Raw genomic sequence first — 26,878 nt, 5'->3', positions numbered from 1 at the left:
TTGTCTTAGTCCATTCCTGCTGCTACAATAAAATATCTCAGACTGGTTATTTATAAACAACAGAAATGTATTGCTTACAGTTCTGGAGACTGAGAAATCCAAGATCAAGGTGTTGGCAGATTTAGTGTCTGGCGAAGGCTGCTCTCTGCTTCCAAGATGGGTATCTCAATCTAAGTGTATTTACAAGATGGTATCTTTTTGCTATGTCTTCACATGGTGGAAGGGGAGAACACTGTGTCCTCACATGGCAGGAGAGATGGAAAGGCCAGGCAGTTCTCTGGGGCCTCTTTTATAAGGATGCTAATCCCTTCTTGAGGACTCCATCCTCAATCACTTCCCAAAGACCTCACCTCTTAATACCATCAGCTTGGGGTTTAAATTCCAATATACAACATATGAACTTTAAATGAACACATACATTCAAACCATAACAATGATATAGATACCACATGAGAGGAGGAGGAGGAGGAGGAGGAGGAGAGGAGAGAGAGAGAGAGAGAGAGAGAGAGAGAGAGAGAGGGAGAGGGAGAGAGAGAGAGAGAGAGAGAGAGAGAGAGAGAGAGAGAGAGAGAGAGAGAAATGTGAATGGTACCTCAGCTATCTCAGCCCTAGCTGGTCAAGTCTTCCCAGATATATGAGGGAAGGCTTTGAAATGTTCAAGCCCAAGCCACAGACTAAAACCTCTTGAGACACTGAGCCAGAACAACCCAGCTGAGCCACTCTGCATTCTTGTCTCTCAGGAATCGTGAGAGATAGTAAGTATGTTATGGTTTTAAGCCACTAAATTTTAGAGCAATTTGTTGTTACACAGCCACAGTAAATAGGACAATTTATCACTCCACTTCCCACTTCCATCTACGCTTTTAAGATTCTCTCTTTGTCTTGAGTTTTCTGAAAGTTCACAGTGATCTGTCCGAGCATGGCTCTTTGACTCTTTTTCCATACATTTTCTTAGGCACCCATTGAAAAATTCAACTTAGAAACTGCCTTCAGTTAAGATGAGTTATTTAAATTAATTAAATCTTCAAATTATTTTTTGTTAATTTCACTTTCCCTATTTTCTTTATTCTTTTACTAAAAAATTTATATTATTTTGATGATAAAACTCCTGAATCAATCACATAGGTCACTTTTCTAACTTCATGTGGGAGTTTCTTGACTGCACTTCGCAAGCCTTTATCTCTCACTCAACAAATATTTACTAAGACCCTACTCTGTGCTAAGATGCAGCAATACAAAATAAGTTAACTGAGATTTTAATTTCTACTATCAAATATTTAATTTTAAGAACTTATTTTTGTTTTCTGAGTGTTACATGTTGTTTTCTCCTTTTTTGTTCTAGGTTTTCTTCATCCTCATTATCGCATTTTTTGTTTTTTTTTTAGTCTCTAACTTTCATGTTAGCAGCTTAGCTAACATCACTGATGATTCTTGGATGTCATTTGTTAATATTTTAGACGCACACACAACTATGGGAGCACTATATGTTGTTAACAGGTAGACATTGCTGCAAGATTATCTGGCTGAGCCATTTTACTGGGAGACTCCTGATTCTGGGATATTCATTTATTTAAAGAAAAATCTTTCACTCTTCTTTCTAGAAGATATAAACCGATTCCAGCATTCCTGGAAGAGTGGGTGAATGTAGCTGGGCTATCTCATCACTCAGCATATAGACTTCAGCTTAACCCTCCCGTTTCTACTGTGGCCTTCCACAGAGTCATTCCGTTCACTCTCTCTATCCCGTCTTCTGCCCCAATATGGAAAAAACAGTCCTGGCTCTGCTGGGTTGGGGATGAATCTTGGTGGGACAGGATGAAGGAGAGAGGACGGTCTAACTACTTCTTAAGCAGACTTTCAGTTTTCATCTTAAGTCTCACCCCTACTTTCAGAGGTACCTACAACCCCTAATTTGGAGGTACCTACAACCCCTAATTTGGAGGCCTTCCTTGGGTTCTATTGAGCAACTCAGCTTCCTTCTGTGCTTCCTTCATTACAGCTCTAGTTTTCTATTTTCTCAGTTGCACTCAGCAAATTAACACTCATCTACCTGCTTTTCAGTTTCCAAAATTTGGTTGTTGTCATCTGTCTTTTCCTTTTCTTTGTTTATGAAAAAAAAATCCCTTTACTATTGTATCAGTGAAGTTTTAAGACTGGAGGGAAGTGAAAGTGTTCAATTCACCATCTCTGAACAGAGGTCATTTTCATTTTCTCTTCAACCCATCCATACAGCTCTCTTGACCTTACTCTTTCTGAGGACACAAATGACTCCCTAATCATCACAGCCAAGGACCCCTACTGACTTCTCATTCTAAAGGATCCCCCTGTGCCGTTTGACACTGTTGACCACCTCCTCGTTCAAACTCTTCCCTCTGTTTTCTGTGACACTGCTCTGTCTCATTCTCTTCTGACTCAGATCACTCTTTCCCAGTATTCTTACTTGGCTTCTTTTTCTATATTACCTTAAATATCCTTACTCCTGGGAAAATAATGATATAATCTGGATTATGTGCCAGGCACTGTACTAAATAGGCACTTTGTGTGTAATACATTTATCTTCTCAACAACTCAGGTAGGTATTATTAAGTAACCCATTTCACAGGTGAAGAGATCAAGGGCACAAGAAACTTAAGTAATTTGTCCAAAGTCTCGCAGCTTTTTACCACTGTACCTATTACCTCTACAAATGCTACATTTTTTAGTTTTCCCTCTTATTTGTTTGCAGTTTGCTGGACTTTCTCATCTACTTCCAGAACTTAATCTCTCACATATACCTATATTCAGACAACTCTGAACTGTCCGTTTTCAGTCCTACCTTTCTTCTAAGCTCCAAAACTCAATGTCCAAATATTTATTGGAAACTTCCATCTGCATGTCCCACAAACACCTCAAAATCAAAATATCTGAGGTCCAAACATGTCATTTTCACAACTCTTTCTTCTCAAAAGAACTCAACTTGTTTGGTTTTTATATATATCAGTTAATGGCATCAGCATTTACCTCCACGGGAAAGTTAGAACACTCAACGTTTGTTCCGACTGCTCACTCTCTCACCTTCTGTGTGAAATTTGCTGCTAAGACTGTTGTTCTCTGAAGGGCCTTCTGATTTCATTGCATTTCCTCATCATCCTCCCACTATCCTTGTCAGGCCCTTACGTGCTCTTGATAACAGCTTCCTCCTAACTAGTCTCAGCTCTAATCTGCCACATCACCATCAGAGCTATCTTTCTAAATACTTTTTTAAGATCTGTTCATTCTACTTATTTAGGGTTGACAGGTGATTGACTCTAAACAACCAAGTCTTGGGAAAGAAGGGGCTCCTCACATACAAAAAAATAGCAAGGTACCTTAAAAAACATCTCATGTATACGTTTACAGATTAATACACATATACCAGGAAAAAATAAAAGCTGTAATGTTCCAAAGCATCGGTGATTAAGGACCAATGAGAAACTAAGATAAAGCAATTCTGAACTTATACTGATGAGCTGGACATTCATTTATTTATTAACAATTATTTATTGAGCACCTACTGTGAACCAGCAGGCATTCTTCTAGGAACTGGGACTGCTGCCATGAAAAAGACAGATAAGGTTCCTGATACCATGCAGTTTATATTCCTGTAAAGAAGACAAATGAATAAGCAAATAAATATGTAAGAAAATATCGGATGACAAGGAGTACAATGCTGAGAGCTAGGACAGGATGACTGCCTTAAGTCGTTCTTCTGGGTGGCCAGGGTTGGCCTCTCTGAGTGGGTGGCATTGAATACTGATGTGCCATGACAGGCTCAGGCCTCCTGAGCATCAGGGAGGCCTGAGAAAAACTCTGCCCTGTCCTGAGAGGCAGCAGGCCTAGTGAGGGGAATTTTGAGGCAAGCACCCTGAGGCCTATCTGGGGACTCATTTAGTGGCCTAGGGCAAGTCTCCCCCTCTCTGGGCCACTGAAGTCCTTTCCGCCCCTAGCACACTGTTACTTGCCTTCCTGGGCCCTGCTTCCCTCAATTCTCCCCAATTTATGATTCTTTCAACTGCAGAGCCTGAAATAAAAAGGCCTGGCTGGGCCTCTATTCTGTCAATCATGGAGCGTTGCTTGGCCAGTGCGGCGGGAGCTCCAGGCAGCCAGAGCATGGGGTGGCAGATGCCAGGAGCTGCTCCAGGCAAACACGTGGCTGTGGCTCCCTCACCTGCCAGCCACACCTGCCAGGCAGTGGAACCCCGGGGGCAGCCCTAACATTCAATTTCACCTTCTCGTCAGGCAAATTTTGGAAGTAATCTCTGCCCAATTGTGGAATTACGTTTACATGTCTGTAAACTAACATGTTGGCGAAACCTAAGTATTCATGATCGAACTTTTAAAAATAGAGGATGAGGGAAAACAACAAAAATTACTCCGTCTACACACACACACACACACACACACACACACACACACAAATTCAGTGAATACAAATACCAGAAGAAACTTTGGTATATATACAAAGTAAATCAAATTTGTCAGCTTTGAAAATCTGCTCAATAGATGACTTTTCTAAGGAATCACTTCTCTAGCTATTTTGGAAACAGTTTGGAGACAGATTCTCCAACAGGTTTTATGTTCTATAGACTCCCTCTTTCTAAAGTTTCCAAACTAGTCTTACGGGCCTGAAATTTTGTGTCTTTTACATTTGTATTCTCTCTCGTTATGTCATTCTCACAAGTCTCTAAAACGATCCAATTCTTCATGCTAATTGCTAATGTAATTAAGGGCCCTTTGGGACTATCAGCATAAAGAGAGCCTCTCATTCTGCATCATCCAGCAATCCAGGCCATGTGGAAGAAAGAACAGTGATTGCTCTCACATTTACATGTTTAAAGAGATTGACTGAGGCCGGGTGTCATGGCTTATGCCTGTAATCCCAGCATTTTGGAGGCTGAGGCGGGCGGATCACTTGAGGTCAGGAGTTCAAGACCAGTCTGGCTAACATGGTGAAACCTTGTCTCTACTAAAGATACAAAAATTAGCTGGGCGTAGTGGCACATGCCTGTAATCCCAGCTACTTGGGAGACTGAGCCAGGAGAATTGCTTGAATCCAGGTGGCAAAGGTTGCAGTGAGTCGAGATTGCGCCACTGCACTCCAGCCTGGGTGACAGGGCGACACTTTGTCTCACAAATAAATAAATAAATAAACTGAATTGTGCCTACATAAAAAAGAAGTACTTTTAATTGGTAAGAAATATAAAGGCATTTTAATATCACAACTCTGGTTGGCAAATAGAAGGGATTACTCTGCTTTTAAGCAAGTTCACAGCTTTGAATTTATTTGTTCCCTGTGTTTTACCAGAAATACCCCTAAGATGGTAAGTGAGTTGCTAGAGGTCACTTAGTGAATCTATAGCTGGGCAAGATAACAAATTGTAGGCTCCTGGCTTCTCACCACACTCAAAAAGCAGTTCAAATTAAAAATGTGGAAGGAAGGGAAGGAGGAAGGGAAGAAGGGAGGAAGAGAGAGAGGGAGGGAGGGAGGAAGGAGTGGAGGAAAATAAGAAAGGCATGAAGGAAGTAAAAGAGGGATGGAGGAATACCCAACAGTATTCATTCTTCTGTAATCGTTATCTATTTGTTTATTGTCTGACCCTCCCACTAGAATGTAAGTTCCATAAAGGCTGACATTTTGTCTATCTCTTACTACTGTATGCTATACATATATTAGCACTTAGTGCAGTCCCTGGTACATAGATATTAATTAATAAATAAATAAATGTCTTTCATACTCATCCTGAAGTATGTCAAATGGAGTGGACCATTTGAAAGCAGCTAGAATAAATCACAGTGTCCTGCTTTTTTATTGAATTTCAAATAACAGAGGCACCATTTGTTGCCTCAAGTCTATAGTTTTTTCTCTTGTAGCCAGAAGTTTTATCCCTCCTTGTCCCATTGTTTCAGTTGTACTGAAAGATGCTTATCCAGTCTTTCTGGGGCCCTTCAGGTCCTTCTATTTATTTTAAGTCAGACCATCTTAATTTTATCCTCCCAGTTTGAAAAAAATTGGCCAGCAAATTCCGCATGATGAAGTAATAAAAAATTTTATTTACATAAATTATAAATATTATGGTCCCTGAAAATTTAATTGTTAAAATCAACATCGCAAAATCACATTAAACCTTATTACCTGGAAAAGACCAAATTAAATAAGTGAGACATCTCAATTAGAAAGAATTTAAAAAGTAAAATTGACCTAATTTCTTTACAATCCCCCGGATTACAAGAATGAGTGTAATCAAGGATTGTTGAGGAGATAGCCTTTACCAAATGAAAGAAATGGGTCAAAACCAGCTCTCATAAACTTGAAATAAACCAATGCTTCTCAAGTGCTTAAGGGATCTTAACATGTTTACTCAGAGCCCTTTAAGTCTTTTAAGTATCATTTAAGTATTGTTTAGACTCAATTGGCTTACTAAATTTTGTCTTCACATGTTATTCTGCCCCCATGTTCATCCTAACTCTTACATATTCCATTGTCTGCAATTTTTAAATCTGTCCTCTGTGGCAGGAGGGGCACTGACAATTGAAGAGAAAAACCAGAGATAAACAGGTGAAGTACTTTGTGTACGTTCCCACAATTCAGACAAGGATATGCAATTGCTGGAGTTTTATCTCTGCCACTAAATGTGAAGTGCTAAACACTGAGGAATTTCAGAAGGTTGTATGGTAATCACTCTCTTGATGTCCTGCTTATTCAAAATGCAAGTGTCTGCCTTAAATAATAAAAGGGAAAATAATTGAAGCTCGTGGATTTAAATACACTAAAAAATAATTGTGTGCCAGTCTTGGATGAGGCCTTTGCACTTGCTATTCTCTCTGCCTGGAATGTTCTTATTCTCAAATAGCTCACACCCTCACTTCACGCAGGTCTCAGATCAAATGTCATCTGAGAGAGGCCAGCCCTGACTCCTAGCTAAAAATGCACACATCCCCTCTACACTCCATCTCCTCAGGCATACTTTATTTTTCTTTAGCACACTTAAATTATCACCCAACAAATGATTTGTTTGAAATTTATTTGTCGACAATTTCCCACCAGAGTGCAAATTCTAGCAGATAATTGCTTTGTTGGTGACCAGAGGAGTCCAGTAACTCAAATATTTGTTGACTGAATGATTTAAAATCACAAAAATCAGTGATATTTCTTTCTCCTTAATTGGCATTCTTTTTAATTTAGAAAGTGAAAATTCTCTGCTTTGAAAAAAAACCTCTCAGTAAAAGCCAGAAAGAAAGCATCAAAACCTCTAAATCACCAATGTAAAATCTAGAGCTTTCATAAAAGTATTTATGGATATACTTAATGTACACCTAATACTGATACTGTATGAGCCTTAGTTAAATTACTACCAGGTTCTTAAATTCAGTTAATTCAGTGCAAGAAAGCAGTCAAACTGGTTGTTTGCCATTGCATAGAGAAATCAACTCGTTGCTTGGTTACGTTTTTTCAACAATGACTTGGCTTCAGGTAAGACAGCATTGGACCTCTAACTGAAAACCCAGTGGCTCAAAGTTGGCTTTCTTCTTGGACTTCCCAGTTCCCTGTCACATTTAAATTTTTGCACTTCACTAATGAGTTTTATGACATCAAAAAACATATACCTTTATAATAATCCAATTCACAAATATCTAGCACTGCATATATGCTACTACTAAAGATATAAAATTCCCATTCCTAACATGTTTACAGTGTAGTAGAGATGCTTGAGAAAGAAATATATATGCACCATCCAGCATAAAGTTCCGCACTCCCAGCTGAGCGTGCAGTCTTAGGCACGCAGGCTCTGAGGGTGTTCTTACAGAGGCTACTAGAGGGAGACTTTCTTACCTGAGGCTGAGCTGTCCGAAAGTTGACTTCGAAATTATTGAAACCTCAGTGGGAATAGCAATGGAGCTGGAAAAATTCATTTCAAAACTGCAAGCAGTTTTCTGGAGAATTTGACACTTGGATACTCTTAGAGTCAGATTATTCTTTTATTTTTGAAAAACTATCTAAATGGGCCCTTCAGTTATACAAATGAAAAATTTTAAATCCAAATCAAGAAAGGTCACTTTTGAGAAGTTGGTAGCTTTAGGGAGTTAAATTGCTATTGCTACAAAGTTAAAACAGACAAACAAAAATAATCTACTTGATATCTCCCCTTGACATCTCAGACAACTCAAACTCAACAACAGAACTTATGATTTCCCCTTCCAAAAAACCCTGTACTTCACAGTCACCCACCACTCACTCCCATCTTCTGGTTCTCAATCAAAGGTACTTCTAGTCATTATTGATTGTCTTTTGCCTGTTCTGGCAGATCTGATCCTTCGGCAATTTTCGTCAATTCTGTCACCAAAACACATCTCACATCTGTCCACTTGTCTCTTTTTCTACTGCCACCCTGGGTCCAGGCCATCATCACCTCTCACTGAATTACTACAGTGGCCTCCTCACCTTCCACTCCTGCTCATCTCCACTGAGTGGTTCATTCTCCACTTTAGTCAGAAAAGAGCTTTCAAAAAATTCTTTAACTTAGTAATCCCATTTTTAAAAAAATTAATAAACCTCATTTTTTTAGAGCAGTTTTACAGTCATAGCAAGATTGAGTGAAAAGTACACAGAATCCCTATATACCCCATTACCCCCAACCATGCATAGCCTTTCTCATTACTGACATCCCACACCAGAGTGGCACACTTGTTACAAATGACGGACCTATGCTGACATGTCACCCAAAGTCCATAGCTTGCTTTAGGGTTCATTCTTGGTGTTGTGCATTCTATGGGTTTGGATGAATGTATAATGACTTATATCTAACAATTAGTGTTTCACACCTGTAATCCCAGTACTTTGGGAGGCCGAGGCAGGCGGATCACGAGGTCAGGAGATCAAGACCATCCTGGCTAACACAGTGAAACCACGTCTCTACTAAAAATACAAAAAATTAGCTGGTTGTGGTGACGGGCGCCTGTGGTCCCAGCTACTCAGGAGGCTGAGGCAAGAGAATGGCGTGAACCCAGGAGGCGGAGCTTGCAGTGAGCCAAGATCATGCCACTGCACTCCAGCCTGGGCGACAGAGCAAAACTCCGTCTCAAAAAAAAAATTACTTTTGTACAGAATAGTTTCACTGCCTTAAAAATCCTCTATGCTCTGCCTATTCATCCTCTCTGTCCTCTAACCCCTTTCAACCACTTGTCTTTTTACTATCTCCATAATTTTGCTTTTGCCAGAATGTCATATAGTAGGAATCAGACAGTATGTTAACTTTTCAGATTGGCTTCTTTCACTTGGTAATATGCATTTAAGTTTCCTCTATGTCTTTTCATGGCCTGATAGCTCTTTTCTTTTTATCATTGAATAATATTCCATTGTCTGGAGATCACCCAGTTTATTTATTCATTCGCCCACTGAAGGACATCTTGGTTGCTTCCAAGCTTTGGCAATTATAAATAAAGCTGCTATCAATATCCACGTACTGGTTTTTGTATGGATGTAAGTTTTCAGTTCATTTGGGTAAATACCAAACAGCGTGATTGCTGGATTACATGATAAGAGTGTATTTAGTTTTGTAAGAAACTGCCAAATTATCCTCCAAAGTAGCTGTATCATTTTGCATCCCCACCAGCAATGAATGAGGGTCCCTGTTGCTTCATATCTTTGCCAACATTTGACATTGTGAGTCTTCTGGATTTTGGCCATTTTAATAGGTGTGGAGTGGTATTTCATTGTTGTTTTAATTTACAACTTTCTAATGACAGATGATGTTGGATACCTTTCCATATGCTCACTTGCATTCTGTATATCTGCTTTGGTGAGGCGTCTGTGAAGCTCCTTTAACCCATTTTAAAATTACCTTGTTTGTTTTCTTAATGTTGAGTTTTAAGAGGTCTATGTGTATTTCAGAGAATAGTTCTTTATCGGACGTGTCTTCCAAAAATACTTTCTCCCAGTCTATGTCCTGTCTTCTCATTCTATTGACATTGTCTTTTCCATAGTAGAGGCTTTTAATTTTTAAAAGTCCAGTTTATCAAGTATTTCTTTCATAAATTGTACCTTTGATGTTGCATCTGAAAAGTCATTGTCATAACCAAGGTCACCTAGATTTTGTCCTCTGTTATCTTCTAGGAATTTTAGAGTTCTATGTTTTATATTTCAGCCTATAATTCACTTTGAATTAACTTTTCTGAATGATATAAGTTTTGTGTCTAGATTCATACTTTTGCATGTGGATGTGCAGATGTTACAGCACCATTTGGTGAAAGGAATATCTTTGCCCCATTGTATTTCCTTTGCTCCTTTGTCAAAGATCAGTTGACTATGTTTATGTGGGTCTATTTCTGGGCTCTCTGTCCAGTTCCATTGATTTATTTTTCTATTCTTTCACCAATATTACTATCCCAATTACTGTTACTTTATAGTAAGTCTTGAAGTTTGGTAGTGTCAATCCTCTAACAGAAGGAACTTTTAAAAGAAAAATTTGGGCTGGGTGTAGTGGCGCACACCTGTAATCCCAGCACTTTGGGAGGCCAAGGCGGGCAGATCACTTGAGGTCAGGAGATCGAGACCAGCCTGGCCAACATGGTGAAACCTCATCTCTACTAAAAATATAAAAATTAGCCAGGTGTGGTGGTGTGTGCCTGTAATCCCAGCTACTCAGAAGGCAGAGGCACAAGAATCACTTGAACCCAGGAGGTGGAGATTGCAGTAAGCCAAGATGGTGCCACTGCACTCTAGCCTGGGCGACAGAGTGAGACTCCATCTCAAAATTAATATTTTTAAAAAATAAAATAAAAGCAAAATTTGGTGGGATCTGCCATCTCCTCCCATGGACCATAATGGCTTTTGTTTGACACAATTGGCAACACTGATTATTCCTAAGGCTTTGACTAGAATGGCATATTTTCATATATGATCAGACTGCTTTGAGGAACTGAGATTAACTTGATACATTTATAATTCATTTCCAGGGACTTATTTTATTCCTTCATTTGGGCTTTAGCTCCCTGATTCATTGCATGCCTTGTGATTCTTTTTGAGATTTAGGCATTTGAAAAAGAGTCACCTTCCCTTTGAGAGGTCAAGGTGGGAGGATCACTTGCACTCAAGAGTTCAAGACCAGTCAGGGCAACATAGCAAGAACCCGTCTCTGATGGATGAGAATCTCAAAGGAATCCTGCTTCAAATGCAGAAGTGTCATACTCCAGAACTTTGAAAGCCTTGTGAAGCTGCATGAGTAGTGTGGTCTATGGAGGTGCATGGGCTTTGGAGTCAGGCAGAGTTAATCCTGAGTTCCAGCCCAGCTGCTTAGTAGCTGTAGGGCTTTGGACAAGTTTCTTAACTTAAAACAGTTATACACACCTCATTTACATTTACTGGCTTATAATAAAGGACATTGCAAAGGATACAGATGAAGAGACGTGCAGGGCAAGGTATGGGGGAAGGAATGTGGAGCTTCCATTCCCTCCTTGGGTATGCCACCCTCCAGGAACCTCCGTGTATTCATCTATCCAGAAGCTCCAATTGTCTTCAAAGAGTCAATAAGAATCCCCATAGAAAGACTGGCCTGGTACCTTGTCTAAATAGTTCCCTTACAAAGTTCCTGACCTGTGATAAGCCAAGAATGTCACTTTCCAGCCCAGGAAGCTCAAGATATTTTGGGACCACAAGAAGACAGGAATTCATACAGGTATTATAAGCACAGTCTGATGGTGAATTCTTGGTTTGGCTTCTAGCCTTGGGGCTTTTAAAAAGTTGAATTTAAAATTGTTTATAAAAGTTCCAGCAAAGCCAACTTAAAAGTCTATATGACCTATAACTACTCTTGCTATATTTTATACAAATAATCAGGCCAAGTACAATAGACTAAAATTTATTTTGCAAATAAATTGGTCCTTATATGATTTATCTTTGGTATAAATGGAGAAACTGGAGAGAGAAAAATTTAGATTCTAGCCCTGACCATTGTTTTTCAGTTTTTATTTTTTGACTATACTTTGGGCTAAATCCTGAATTATTTCCTGAATTAAGAAGAACCAGGTTTTAATTTTTGGTTTTCATTTAACAATGCTTTTAGTTGGCTTTCTAATGGAAAAGGGGTTTTTTTGTTGTTGTTCTTGCATACAAATTCTTTTTTGATTATAATCTTTGTGTGTATTATATCAAATTATTAATGCTGTGTGTCTTTCATTGTTTTACTTCCAACAAAACCAAAGTTTCAAAGACTAGAGATGATTCAACCAAACCTGTGAATCTCCCTCATTTGAAATCCCACTGGGCCAGATCTGTTTTCCACTGCCAATGCACTGCTGCTAAAACTATACAATATCAAGCACCCTCTCTAACGGCCCAGGGGCCATTGCGGAAGACGAGGGCATGTGAAACTAAGAGCTGCGTTAGTGGGATGGAGCGTGGAGGCTAAAGCAACTCGATCGTAGATGCTGATCTTCCATATTAACCCCTGTTCTGGGAAGGCCTCTGAGATTTCTATTTTATCTACTGTTCCTTGTGTAAGAGCATGTACTTACTGTAAATCTTCCCCTTAGGCAGATTCACATAACATTCTTGCCTTTCCCTAAAGAGTGTACTTCAGTTGTGCTACATATTCTTCTCCTATGGTATATAAGCGCTCTGTCTGGGGGAGGTGGGATGGGTAATGGTGTGGGGATCTGCCATCTCATTTTGTGGCCACCCAGACATCATGACTTCTGTCTGTAGGTCCCTATTAAATGTTCCTTTCTGAGAAGGAGAAAAAAACCACGAATCCTTTACAGCCTGCTTCTTATCTTTAGTATAAAGTCCAAAATACTGGGCTGGGTGTGGTGGCTCATGCCTGTAATCCTAGCATTTTGGGAGGCCAAGGTGGGTGGATTGCTTGAGCCCAGGAGTTTGAGACCAGCCTGGGCAACATGGCGAAACCCCGTCTTTACCTGCCGTCCTCACTCAAATATATATATACACAAAAATTACCTGGGCATGGTGGCACACACCTGTAGTCCCACTGGGAAGCTGAGATGAGAGGATGGCTTGATCCGGGGAGGCAGATGTTGCAGTGAGCTGAGATCGTACCACTGCACTCCAGCCTGGGCAACAAAGCTGAGATCCTGTCTCAAAATAAATAAAAATAAAATTTTTAAAAGTCCAAAACATTTAACAAGGCCTCTAAGACCCTCTGCCAACCTTTCTACTTCTGTCTGTTGCTCCTCCTACCTCCTCATTTTTCATTCTCCAGTCATAGCAGACTTCTTTTCTTTTCTAAATATGCACACTCGCATGTACCTTGTCTTGTTGCAAGAATATTCTTACCAGCCCTCTCTCCCAGCCCAGCAGTCTCCCCATACTAGGCCAATTCCTTTTTTATCCTTTGGGTGTTACCTTAAACATCACTGGTCAGGGAAGTTGTCCCTGATCCTCGTAAGCGTGTCAAGTCCAATGTCGCATGCTACATTTCTTCTCTATTCTCTTTTGTAGCACATACTAACTCACACTTAGTTTATTTGTCTAGTTATTTTGCAAATGGGTATCCCTACTAGATTACAAGCTATGTGAGGCCAGGGACATTGTCTTCCTGATCACTGTGGTCTTCTTAGCACAATGCCTGGCACATGACATGGCATCAATAAGTACTAGCTGAAGGAACAAGTGATTGAAGCCTATAAGGTCCATAGTTACAATCACATGTACATTTGAACAATATAAGTATGTTCCAAAATTACTACTGGCAGTCTTTTCAATACTAGAATAAATTCACAAGAACAGAATTCATGCATAAAGAGTCATTATATTTGACTAGTAATTAGGTAAAATAGACATTTTACTCTTTTTTTTTTTTTTTTTTTTTTTGCTTGTAAAATAACTACAGCTGTTACAACAAGACAGATAATGTCCCATTACTTTTCTCTGAAAATGGTATTCTGCAGAGAAGAAAATTATACCCAGTTATAATGCTATTACTAAAACTTGTAGGGCCCCTGGAAAAAAATTCGTGAAGAACCCACGCCTTTATTAATTATATAAGAAGCAGGACTCCAGCTGCTACATAGGTGCTATCTTTTACCTATGAAAGCAGAAAAGGAAACTAATTGTGGAGAATGATTTTCTTTGCTCAGTTCTACTTTACTCTTTAATATTTTTTGTATTTTCTGTAGATAATCTTCATCAAGCTAACTGATTTTTGGAACACGAGCACCACTGGTTCATTTTTAATAAGGATTAAACTTAAGTAGGTATTATACAAAAATGTAGTTTTAAAGAAAACCTTTAGGCCAGGCACCATGGTTCACGTCTGTAATCCCAGCACTTTGGGAGGCCGAGGTGGGTGGATTACTTGAGGCCAGGAGTTCAAAACCAGCCTGGCCAACATAGCGAAACCTGTCTCTACTAAAAATACAAAAGTTAGCCAGGCGTGCTTGTGCACGCCTGTAATCCCAGCTACTCGGGATACCGAGGCAGGAGAATTGCTTGAACCTGGGAGGCGGAGTTGCAGTGAGTCGAGATGGCACCACTGCACTCCAGCCTGGGTGACAAAGTGAGATTCTGTCTCAAAAGAAAAGAAAAGAAAAGAAAACCTTTAATGTTTTATTAAATACTATAAATAACTTCTTGAACCATGAATTCGAGAAGATAGAGGCTCAGCCAGAACCCACTCTGAAATTATTCTTGGAATGGAATAGATTTCACTGGGGCTCAAACCTTCTGGGAACTCTGCAAATAACTAAGAATATGGTCCTATCATATATATTCTTTTTAAGAGCTATCTTTAATAGGGAAATATTATGCTACAACTTGAGCAGTAAAAAAGAAAAACACTTTCTAGCACGTAGAAATAGACAACATTATAAGCAAGTAAATTTGACAGTATGTTAAAAATAGTTGAAACAAATAACCCTAAATCCAAAACAGGATGAAATTGTTGAAATGTATTTTCTTTCCAAAAGTTTCAAAGATTCTATACACTCTAAAAGCAAAAACTGCTCACTTTTTAATAAAATTTTCTGGAAGAAAGTTCTATTCATATAAAGTTCCTTATGTATTTATTTATTTTTAGAAACAGGGTCTTGCTCTCTTGCCCAGGCTGGAGTGCGGTGGTGCGATAATAGCTCACTGGAACCTGAAACCCCCGGGCTCAAGCAATCCACCTGCCTTAGCCTCCCAAGTAGTTGGGAATACAAGTGTGCACACCATGCCCAGTTAATTTTTCTGTTCTCTTTTTTGTAAAGACACGGTCTTTCTGTGCTGCCCAGGCTGTCTTTGAATTCCTGGCCTCAAGGGATGCTCTCACCTCAGTCTCCTAAAGTGTTGGGAATACAGGCGTGAGCCACTGAATCCAGGCTCTTTTTAAATAGTAGGTGTATTCATAAGTTGTTGATCCATTTACTCTAAAATATGTATTAAGTGCCTACTATGTGCAGAAGATATGGCAGCAAGCAATATTAACACAATTTCTGCCCTCATGAGTAAATATTTTATTTTAATCCAAGAATTTCATTGTGGAGAAGCAGATCTGAAAAAGCATGCATCATCTGCATAGCACATTTACCCTAAAGTTAATAGCTACTTTTCAAAGGCTCTTCATGTTTGTTTTGTCAACTGAGAAGCTCCTGAAATCCAAACCACTGTTTTTAACTGGAGGGGTGGAGATAGGATAAGTCTTTGTTGCTGCCGGTACTATAATATTATATTTTTGTTGTGACAAGGAAAACTTGCCAGTAGCTGTGCACCTCTTACTTCTCCTTATCCAGGGCATGTTAACTGAGCCATGAAGGATGGCATCAGGGAAAATGTTTCCTGACTGCCGACCCCCCAGGGCAGTCCAGGTGAAGAAACTTCAGTTTCTACAAGAATTTTTCAGAACCAAATCTGGGGCCACCTTTCAATCCTAGGTTCATGAAATATGCTTAGTGTCCCAATGTTCAAATTGTAGAAATTGTTTTAAAGATGAAAATATCTTTAAAACATATCCAATATCTTAATATGTCATAAAATGCTCCAAAGACATTTGTGGGAGAATCTGTTCTTTTTACCAGCCTAGAATCTCTTGCCGCTTTTCCTGGTCCTAGCACCCTACTTTTTTTTGGCAAAGCATCCTTCTCCATGACATGCCAGGACTGCCAATCAAGCGACCCAACTCCCTTGGCCAACCTGTGTGCCTGGGACCTGAGCCAGTCCAGACTGATTTTCCTAGGATTTGAATTGAGCAGGGTGACTCAGAGTCAGAAAACATTTGCAGCCAAGACTTTCTGATGGCAGAATCCTGAAGAAATCATCCATTGGTTCTTGCCATCTAGATCCCCAAACTTAACTGAGCTACCCCATATATCCTTCCTGTAAAATTGCCTTGCATTGTTTCTGTTGCTTACAATCAAGGAATCCTAATATATCTTCCCATATAAGTAGATTGAAGTATGTCATTAAAATAATTACTATACTTTTAAAAATACAGTATATAGTTCGGGTACAGTGGCTCCCACCTGTAATCCCAGCATTTGGGGGAGGCCCAGGCAGGTAGATCATGAAGTCAGGAGTTTGAGACCAGCATGGCCACCATGGTGAAACCTCGTCTACACTGAAAATACAAAAAATTAGCCAGGCGTGGCAGCGCGTGCCTGTAATCCCAGCTACTCGGGAGGCTGAAGCAGGAGAATCGCTTGAACCCAGGAGGCAGAGGTTGCAGTGAGCCGAGATTGCGCCATTGCACTCCAGCCTGGGCAACAAGAGCAAAACTCGATTTAAAAAAAAAAAAAGAAAAAAAAATTACAGTATATATGCTGAAACAGCAAAAATGAGAATTCATTTTTCCTTAGGAGTCATCCAGAAGTTCACTCCTCAGACACAAAAGTAGTTTTAACGTGCATGTAATAACCATGGTTTTTCTGAATGTATTGAGAAAAAGGTTATTCTTATTTTAAAAACCATTATTTTTAAAAAGTAATTGTAAGTAGCATGAGATCTTTTTATGAAAAACTGCTAATGTTCAAATACATTTTACAATGAATAGGCCGGGCATGATGGTGCAGGCCTGTAGTCCCAGCATTTGGGGAGGCCCAGGCAGGCAGATTCCTTGAGGTCAGGAGTTTGAGACCAGCCTGGCCAACATGATGAAACCCCGCCTTTACTAAAAAAACAAAAATTAGTCGGGCATGGTGGCATGCGCCTGTAATCCCAGTTACTCAGGAAGCTGAGACAGGAGAATCACTTGAACCTGGGAGGTGGAAGTTGCAGTGAGTGGAGATTGCACCGCTGCACCCCAGCCTGGGCGACAGAACGAGACTCCGTCTCAAAAAAATAAATAAATAAATAAATAAAAATAAAAATTACAATGAATATAAATTCTTACCTCCAAAATGAGATATTTACACCAGAAATAAAATGAGTCACTACAATGGCTGTGTGTGGCAGTAATTGCCACTGTCTTTTTGCTAAAAAAATACCGTATGTGTGTATGTGTATATAGATAGATACACACAAACACAGATACAGTCCTATTTAGATTTGTACAAAAACAATATCTACTTATTCCACATGTAGGCACCTGTTTCTTGAGGATAGAGAGTTTCATTATCAGATAGGAAATTTTTCCATTCTGATAACTGTTTAACTTTCTGATCATTTCTTAATTTATAAAGAGGAAGCACATTAGACTCAGATGCCCTTTATTCTATGTAAACTTGATCACCAGTTTCTGACTTTTTAAAAAATTTATGGGCTGGTACAATATTTAGATACAACCAGAAAAGTTTTGCAAACTTCAGAATATAGTATTGATGGTGAAAATATGGCATAATAATAATAAATAATAACTTGATGACCTGGGTTTCCCCCTTACCTTTTTCTTTTTCGTGTTTTGAGATGGAGTCTCTCTCTGTCACCCAGGCTGGAGTGCAGTGATGCAATCTTGGCTCATTGCAACCTCTTCCTCCCAGACTGAAGTGATCCTCTCTCCTCAGCCTTTCAAGTAGCTGGGACTACAGGCGCATACCACCACGCTGGCTAATTTTTGTATTTTTAGTAGAGACAAGGTTTCACTATGTTGGCAGGCTGGTCTTGAACTCCTGACCTCAAGTGATCCTCTGGCCTTGGCCTCCCGAAGTGCTAGGATTACAGTTGTGAGCCACTGTGCCTGGCCAATGACCTGTATTTTTATCAATAGTGCTCTATAGTTTTGAAACCCTTTCACAGACTATACCAGTCAGGTTCCAAGCAAAAAATAGAATTTACGCAGAGGGTGCAATGAAGAGACTTTAATGAAGGAGCTACTTACAGAAGTTGTGAGATTAAAGAGCAAACAATGGATGTTGAGGCACCCAGAGAGTAGCAAGAGTAAAAAGCCATTACTTGCCCTAGAACCTAAGGGATATGGAGTGAAAACGGTATTACCCAGAGCTCTATGAAAAGCTGAAGCCAAGGAAGTTGGGCCTCCCAGTTTGCTTCCCAGTATATGGTACAGAAGCAGTGAGCAAGGGCAGAATCATTTTGTTCCCTCTCTCTTCCCACCTTCTGATCTGCTGCTAAAATCAACTAGAAGCCAGATGGCAAGGGAGTCCTGGCAATGTGGTTAGTAGGAGGCAGCAAATCCTTAGAGTATAGAAATGAGTAGAGAACTGGGAGTTGTGGGGAGAGAGAATGAATCTGGGGGAAAACCATAGAATAACCAGACACATACATTAACTCAGAATACAACAGGCTCAGAGAGATTAAATGCCTGATTAAATTTACACAGCTCATGATCCCTGATCTGGGACTTAAATACAAGTTGCCAGACCCCACAAAGCCAGTGTTTTTCCCAATATGCTTTAGTTAATGGCTTAGTTACAGATGATTGAGGGGTATTGTGTTGCTGAGTCAAATATAATATTTTATTTTAAACTGAATCAACTAAATGAGGGTTCCTACAGAGGTTCTTTCTTGCATATCTGCCATGGGAGTTTGACCCAACAGACAGATTGTCCAGTGAACCAGGTGAACACAGTGATGATGACTGTCTTGTCCTGGTGAGATCAACAAGGAGACAGTAGAAATCATGGGAGCAATAGAGAGGAACAAGCCAGCAAAGAGGAGGCTCCGATGCTGTCAGAGAGAAACATCGTAATGTGGCTAAGAGTCTGGTCATAGAAGTCAGCAGCCTGAGTTTGAATTCACTCGCTCTCACTACCCAGGGTATTGGGTAATTAATTCGAGTTTCACTTTATGCATCTATTATTGGGGGTAAAATACCTACCTCACAGGGTTGGCATGAGAACTAAAATAATGTTTATAAAGAGCTTAGTATAGTGTTTGGCATACTAGTTCTAATTAACCATAAAGCTCCTATTTATTGGAGTGTTGACATGCTATTGCTATCCATAAAACATACATGAGGTAGAGCTTAATATCTCTCATTTTACAGGTGCAGAGATTGGGGCTTAGAGAATGATTTGTGTAAAATCACATAGCTAATTCAAGTGTTGAGATCTGAATTGAAAAGCACATGCTTCTACTCCACTGCACCGTTCCAGACAAAGATGGGGTTCCAGTAATTTTTCCAGTGGGGGCTCAGGTCAGGCACTTTAAAATTGTGCCTAAACACGTATTTTCTTGAACTTTTCCATGTTAGTGTAATGTGGGGGACATGAATTATACACCTTTTTCTGGTTATTCCTCTCATTAGCTGGCTGTGTCCATTGTTGACATTTCAGGGCTAGCATCAGCAATGTTACTGTTTTTTTTTTTTAAATAAAGCCCAGTGTGCCCTTGAAGAATATGCCTTTCCCTATGAGATAATTGGTTTGGAATCCTGATGCCATTATTTATCATCACGTGGAGCTGATTTGCAAGGAATATGGTTTTGATGCTTGAGGATTGGCTTTGCGCCAAGAAGTCATTGTTGGGGATTCTGGCTGTTTGATGTTAAGATGCAATCTGCTGAGATGCTGACTAGGCCTATTAATAGAAGTTCAAACACAGTGTCACAGGCTTAACTATGAGGGCCTGGAAAGAGAGGCCTGAATAACAATTCTGACAGAGCCAGGAGGTGTCACTGGACAGGACAGTGTGACCTCGACACCATGTTAAGGACTCACGAAAGCATCTGAAACATGCCGACAGTTCCTCTCCATACTCACTCTCACTCAAATTCACTATTTTGGGCACATGGTATGCCCCAATTAGGTGTCTTTCTTTCCCACAGGATAGAGCTCCTTAGAGGCAGGGATTATGTCATTAATTCAGAAAGCATTCACTGAGTGCCTCTTGCCACTGCCAGGCATTGTACAAGGAGCCAGTAGTCTTATTCATCTTTGTACCCAGCATCTCACACAGAGGCTAGCACATGGCATGCATTCAGTAAACGTTATGGACAAAATATTACCCACCAAGGAGTCTAAACACAAACATTATGTTCATTTGAACAATGAACATATTTTAATGTGTTGTTTTCTCAAAATTTGCTATAATACCCAAATTTTTAAATTACAAAAAATCAAGTTCTGGCAAATATGACAGAACTATTAAACACATTTCTATTTATCTCGTGGTTAAAGACTTAGAGAATTCTAGTCGATCAAATATTATGGTTGAGAGTGAAGTTCATATTTGGCACTGTCAATTCATAAAAAAACCTCAATACCCAAACAAAACATAAATCATTCCTTGATGATCAAAAGGTAATATGTGTCTCAAGGTCATCTTCAAGGAGCCATTCCTTGTTGTATAGGCTCTAGCTATAATGGGGTTAAGAGTCTGGATTAATAAATGCTTTCCCTCTTACTGCAATTTATTTTTTATACCCAATTAGTGATACATAATTATGATGAGGCCCCTAGGCTACAGTCAATCATTTAAACTAATAATAATAACAAGAAGAACCTGATATCAATGAAGAGTTTTTTTGTAAAAGCAACAGAAACGAACTCTAATTAACTCAAGCATAAAAGAAATTCATTTGAAAGATAACAGGTAGCTCTCAGAAGGGAAGGCTGGAAGCCCAGGTTCAGAAATAAATGGCAGGAACCAAGGGAGGTTAGGCTGCAGGAAACACAGCCAAGGAGCTGGATGGATATCCTGCCATTGGACCCTCCTTGCCACTACCCTCCTGTGAGCAATGCCTAACAGTCTCTATGACATGGAGTTGGAGCCCACATGGGCTAAGCCACAGCCATAGGATCACAGCCTAAGTGCCAGATATGAGGAAAGAGAGGATTTGGCCCCTTATCTACTGTAGCAAGAATTTGGGCCCACCTTCTGTAAGCCTTATCCACTGCGGAGTCAAAAATATGCAATGTCCATTACATAGAGTGAATAATTTTAAAACAAGTCAAATATATTGTTTGTTATAACACCTAATGGCAAAAAATAAATGTGTAAAAATATAATACAGTAGAATAAAAGTAGACAGGTAACAAGGCCATGATAGGTTGAATACTGTCTCCCTCCCCTAAAGATGTCTACATTCAAAAATCCTCAAAACCTCTCAATATAATGCTTTAATGGCAAAGGGACGTTGCCCATGTGGTTAAGTTAAGGATCTTAAAATAGGGAGATTAACCTGGATTATCTGGGTGGGCCCAATGTAATCACAAGGGTCTTTATAAGCCAAATTCTTTGATGATGGGATCAGCATGGTGGTATTTTGGATACAACTTCATAAGCCCATATGTTCCCATAACCTAGCAGAATGACTGCCAAACATATAAGATGGTATATCTATTATCAAATATAATGTGAAGGCAAAAATTAGAACAAAATACTATCTGTTATGCTTAATTTTTAACCTGGCTTTGGTGATTCTTCTAATATCATAAACCTCTTTTACAGTGATTGAGACTTGACAATGTACTGGCTCAAGTATGTAGGAGAAACAAAGTAAGGACAAATACTTAAACCTTACCCATTTTTAAATAATTCAATAAGCCAGAGAAGTTAACATTGAAACTGATCATTTAAAGAGATGCAACCTTATTTTTTAAAGTATGTTTTTCAATATTTGCACAGAATTTTTTAAAAAGTTCTATTTAATAAGCTATTTAAAAGGAAGGCTCCTCATTTTATAATAAAATGTCTTTCTTTTTGTCCTCCTTGGCAACCGTTAAAAACCATTTCTATCTAGAATGCAGCTGTCCTTTTGTATCCGAAAAGGATTGGTTCCTGGGCCTACCTTCCCCTATACTCAATTCCACAATTACTAGTCCCCTAGTCCACTAGTCCACCCTCCGTATACATGGGTTTTTCATCCCCCGAATACCGTATTTTCCACTCACCTTTGGTCGTGAAGGTGGAACCTGCATATAGAGGTCCAGCTGCACTTATTGAAAAAAAAAATCAGAGTTTAAGTCGAGCAGTACAGTTCAAACCTGTGTTGTTCAAGGGTCAATTGTCATTCCTAGTCATTTTAAGAGATCTGGCCTCTCTACTCCTATCCAGATCCTTTCTCTAAGAGAACATGTGATACTGATTTTTAAAATCCATTGTTATGTGGAAGCATTGTATCAAAATCAATTAAGTCAGTGAAGGTAAAACATATCTCTGCATGCCTGTCCTTTCCTCTCATTTGTCTATGTGCTATGGTTATGTGTAAGGACTTCCAAATGCAGTAGTCTTTTCCTCCTACGGTAGCTGAGTTAAGACTAAACACTTTAATACTTAAAATAATCCTCTTATTGAAGTTAAGTGACAATAGAGGGTTCAGTTCCTTAAAAGTAATTTGAAAACTAAATATCAGATGCAACATTCTGTTAGATAGAGATAAAGGCAAAAAGGGAAATCAGTGATAGAAATGTATATATAACATGAAAATAATGTTTAGCATTTTTAAAAGAAAGAGAGCAAATTGATTAGAAATGCTCTTTATTTTACGATAATGAATCTGTTTTTGTGTAAATACCAATCTCAGTTTTGTGCTATCTTTCCTATAATGGCTAGGGAAGACAGATCAACTTTTCGTTGCAGTTCATTGAGTTTAACAATTTCTTATCCTCTTTTTTCAGAAAAAAATGAATACCTAATTCAAAGCAAAAAAAAAGTTACATTTGATTGACTAAAATGACATAAAATTCATAGAGTTACACAGCAGCTTTTGAGAGTCAAACTATAGTGTTTGTTTTTCTCTCCAAATTGCAACATTTAAAAAAAATGCCTAATCACATCATTGATAAAAATCATAGTCTACAAGAATAAAACCATTATGCTCATTTCTCTGAGCAAGACTTCACTCAAATAGCATTTTGGCTTTTAGTGAATCTTGGAAGCAGTGGTTTAACTTTCATGGAATTACTATACATTGGTATATTTTAATGTAATGTAAATTATTCCATTCAATGATAGTGAAGTTAACAGTTTATATTTCCATGTGATTCTACAGACCTGAATTTCCTGGAATTGGGGGCAACCCCTGGGTATGCTGTTTCTTGCTCCCCAGAGTTAAGGCTCACTCCTCTTCCAGACTCCATTGCCAGGGGGCAGGCAGTATATTAGGAGCACTAAGCTCAATGTGGGGGTGAGGCCTAGAACTGAGTCTTGCTGAGAGCAGCCTGAGAATCTGTGTGGTCAGGCCTAGGCCTGGGTGCTGAGGAGCCTCTGGATTTCTGCATTCCCTGCATTCCTGCAGTTATGCCTCACTTTCCGTGCCTTGCCCAACTCTCCGTTCATCACTGAGGTGGAGCTTGATCCTGAACATGAACTTTACAGTTGCCTATGTCTTATCAATCTTCTCCTTTACTCCTGTTCTCTATATTCCTTGACTATGGGCTGCATCCAAAATTGACAGAGAGATGTGATACTACCGCTTTTCCTTACTTTTAGAAACCATCTTCCTTCTTATTCCCTATCTAGCTACAAATGCTTTGACAGAGGTCTGAAGAAGACCTCTTTTAAAATTTTAATTATGAAGTTTTTCACTGGCAAGTATGGAGACCAATGAAGAAAACCTTTTTTAAGTAGGATAACTTTACACAATTTATTGTGCAACTTGGGTACATTGAACAAATATAAGATTTGTGTTTTTAAAAGACCACTCTGGTGGTACACGGCAGAGGGATGGCTGAGTAGGGGGACGAAGATTGAAGACTGAAGGTCTCTTGAAAAGACTTTGGAAAAAACTAATGAAAGCCTTCCCGAATGAAGGGAGATGCAATGGGAGTGGTGGAGAAGACAGATGCGAGGGATATTAGGAAAATAGAACTACCAGGACTTGATCACAGACCATATGTAGGAGGCAAAAGACAAGCCAAGAAAACAAGTTTTGCCTTGGGTTACTTAGTCTATGGTGATGTCATTTACTGAAATGAGAAATCAGGAGAAAAATTAGATTTGGGGAGGAACTTACATTTATTTTTGAAAATAGCTAATGGTGGCCCTGGATATTTAATGCTTAGGTTCCGATTCTAGACTAGAATATAATAAAGTTAAATTTGATTAAAATTAGTATTTAAAAATATTTGTTACAAGTGGAATATATTGACCATTTTTGATTTGGGTTAAAAAAAGAAATAAGAAAAAAAGTTGAATACATTTCCAACTCCTGTTTGAAAAGATTACTTAATTTAAATAGTAAAATAATGCATCAACCATAATTTTATATTTCCCAAAATTCTTCTAGATAGTAATGACAATTCTTACATTTAAATAGCTTATATTATTACTAATTTAGAAACTGAGAACATTTCCCCTTGCTGGGGATGCACGCCACCCATGCTCAGTACAGAAAAGATTTGGTAATGTCAAGTTTTGACTGTTTGGGGTGGCCGGAAGATTTGGTCAGTGAATAGTGTAACCGGTTGTTTACTTGCTTCTTGGATGATCAGTTATCAAGAACTTCCCTTTTTCATGATTCATCAGCTTTTCAGTACCTTTATCAACAGAAGTCATTCATTGATCCTTTCAAGAAATAGATGTAAATGAGCCTGCCTGCTACCTGGAAGTCACCAATAAGTCTTGGAAACACAAATTTAAGGAGATGACTAATGTCCTCAAGTTGCTCAGCCTGCGCGAGGAAACCTGTTGATTGCCTTAATGGAACTATGCACGGGGAGCTCTGGCAATCCTTAGAGAAGAAACAGGGTTACCTCTTGTCACCCCAGGCCTACCACAGATCCATATTTTAAAGAACAGGTTCATAAATCCTCACATTTCTTAGTAGAATTACAATGTTATTTCTAAAGTTGATTAAAGAAGCAATGATATAGACATGCTATTTAAAGGTATGACACTAACCACAAGAAGTGCTAAAAACAGAAAACCTTTCAAGTGATAGCCCCAGTCCCTGGGTTAGGAACTGGCAGTCGGGAGAGGAGGGACAGGGAATTGCTGCTTTTCACTATAAACTCTTCTATTTCATCTTTCTACCATATACATGCATTTGGTACAATAAGCAAAATAAAAAGCCCGTGTAGCTCTTTCTCTTCATTCCTTTCTTCCCCTCATGGCTTCCACAACTATCCCTCAGTTGTTGGAAGAGGGAACAGACCGACTTAGGAGTTCCCTGGTCAATTTTTGCAATTCAGTTCATTTCAACACATATTTGCTGCCTGCTTACTATGTGCCAGGCATGAGGAATATGGTTTTTGGCACTATGGAGCTTACATTACTATTACTTTTTAAAGGCTATTCAGAGCTTATACTACTGGGAAGAATGAATATAATCAAGTAGCTGTTTAATTTAAGTCTCCTCTCCCTCTCAACTTAGCTGAATAGTCAGATCAGAGCTACTACCAGGCAGTCATCAGAAATGTGTGAACACATGGGGAGGAATGAGCCCAGGGATGGAGCAGCTACCACCATGATGGAGGAGAAACTGTGAGGACATAGCAGAAAAAGTCACAGTCTGCTTGGGGTGGTGGCTCACGCCTGTAATCCCAGCACTTTGGGAGGCTGAGGCGGGCAGATCACGAGGTCAGGAGATCAAGACAATCCTGGCCAACACGGTGAAACCCCGTCTCTACTAAAAATACAAAAATTAGCCAGGTGTGGTATCATGTGCCTGTAAATCCCAGCTACCTGGGAGGCTGAGGCAGGAGAATCGCTTGAACCTGGGAGTCGGAGGTGGCAGTGAGCCAAGATTGCCACTGCACTCCAGCCTGGTGACAGAACAAGACACCGTCTCAAAAAAAAAAAAGGAAAAAGAAAAAGAGAAAGAAAAAGTCACAGTCAACGGTATCCCGTCTCAGTGAACAGCAACATGAAGCATGAATGATACAAGCTCCAGAGCCAAATTCCCTGGGTCAGCATCCCAGCTCTTCTACTTATTAGCTGGAAGTGTGACCCTAGGTATATTACCAAACTTTGATAGGGGTACAGTTCCTCACCTCTATGAAGAGGATAATAATAGCAGTTACTTCAGAGTTGTAAGAATTAAATAACTTACCTGAAGCACTTAGAAGAGTGCCTGGTAGAATAAATGTTCAAAAAATACAACATTATTATTAAGAATATCTACATACTCAAAATGATTATTATAATGATACTGCTTATGAATATTTCATATCCATGTGTACACTGATTTTAAACTTAGAATTCAGCATTCTTTAAATATGTTTTGATTTATCCTTCATGAATGCAACTACTTATTTGTATAGATATGCAAAAGCACAGGGATGGATCTGGAAAGACATACATGGCACAACTGACTGTGACCCTCTTTGTGGAGAACTAGATTGGAGATGGTCAACAGCCTTCAGCTTTTCATTAAATATTTGATTTCTTTTTCATGATGAAAATGTGTTAGTCAATTACATGTAATTCTTTTTTTTTAGTTAGAAAAAAATTATTTAAGACAAGGTCTCACTATGTTGGCCAGGCTGATCTTGAACTCCTGGCCTCAAGGGATCCTCCCACCTCAACCTCCCTCCAAAAGTGCTGGGATTACAGGCATGAGTCACCACGCCTGGCCAAAACATAATTTTTAAAAGG

The 26,878-nt window shown here is 39.3% G+C and overlaps 1 annotated feature.

Annotated features, from left to right (window-relative positions):
- Positions 24,534 to 24,583: an enhancer, noted in NCBI's record as "active region_1394". NCBI's record gives its function as "activates an Ori minimal core promoter by ATAC-STARR-seq in GM12878 lymphoblastoid cells {active_cell/tissue: GM12878}" and the evidence as "EXISTENCE:reporter gene assay evidence [ECO:0000049][PMID:35858748]".

This window comes from Homo sapiens, chromosome 1, assembly GCF_000001405.40.
Source record: "Homo sapiens chromosome 1, GRCh38.p14 Primary Assembly".
Taxonomy (NCBI): domain Eukaryota; kingdom Metazoa; phylum Chordata; class Mammalia; order Primates; family Hominidae; genus Homo; species Homo sapiens.
The sequence above is the reverse complement of the archived record's forward strand: the minus strand, read 5'-3'. Positions and strand labels throughout refer to the sequence as shown.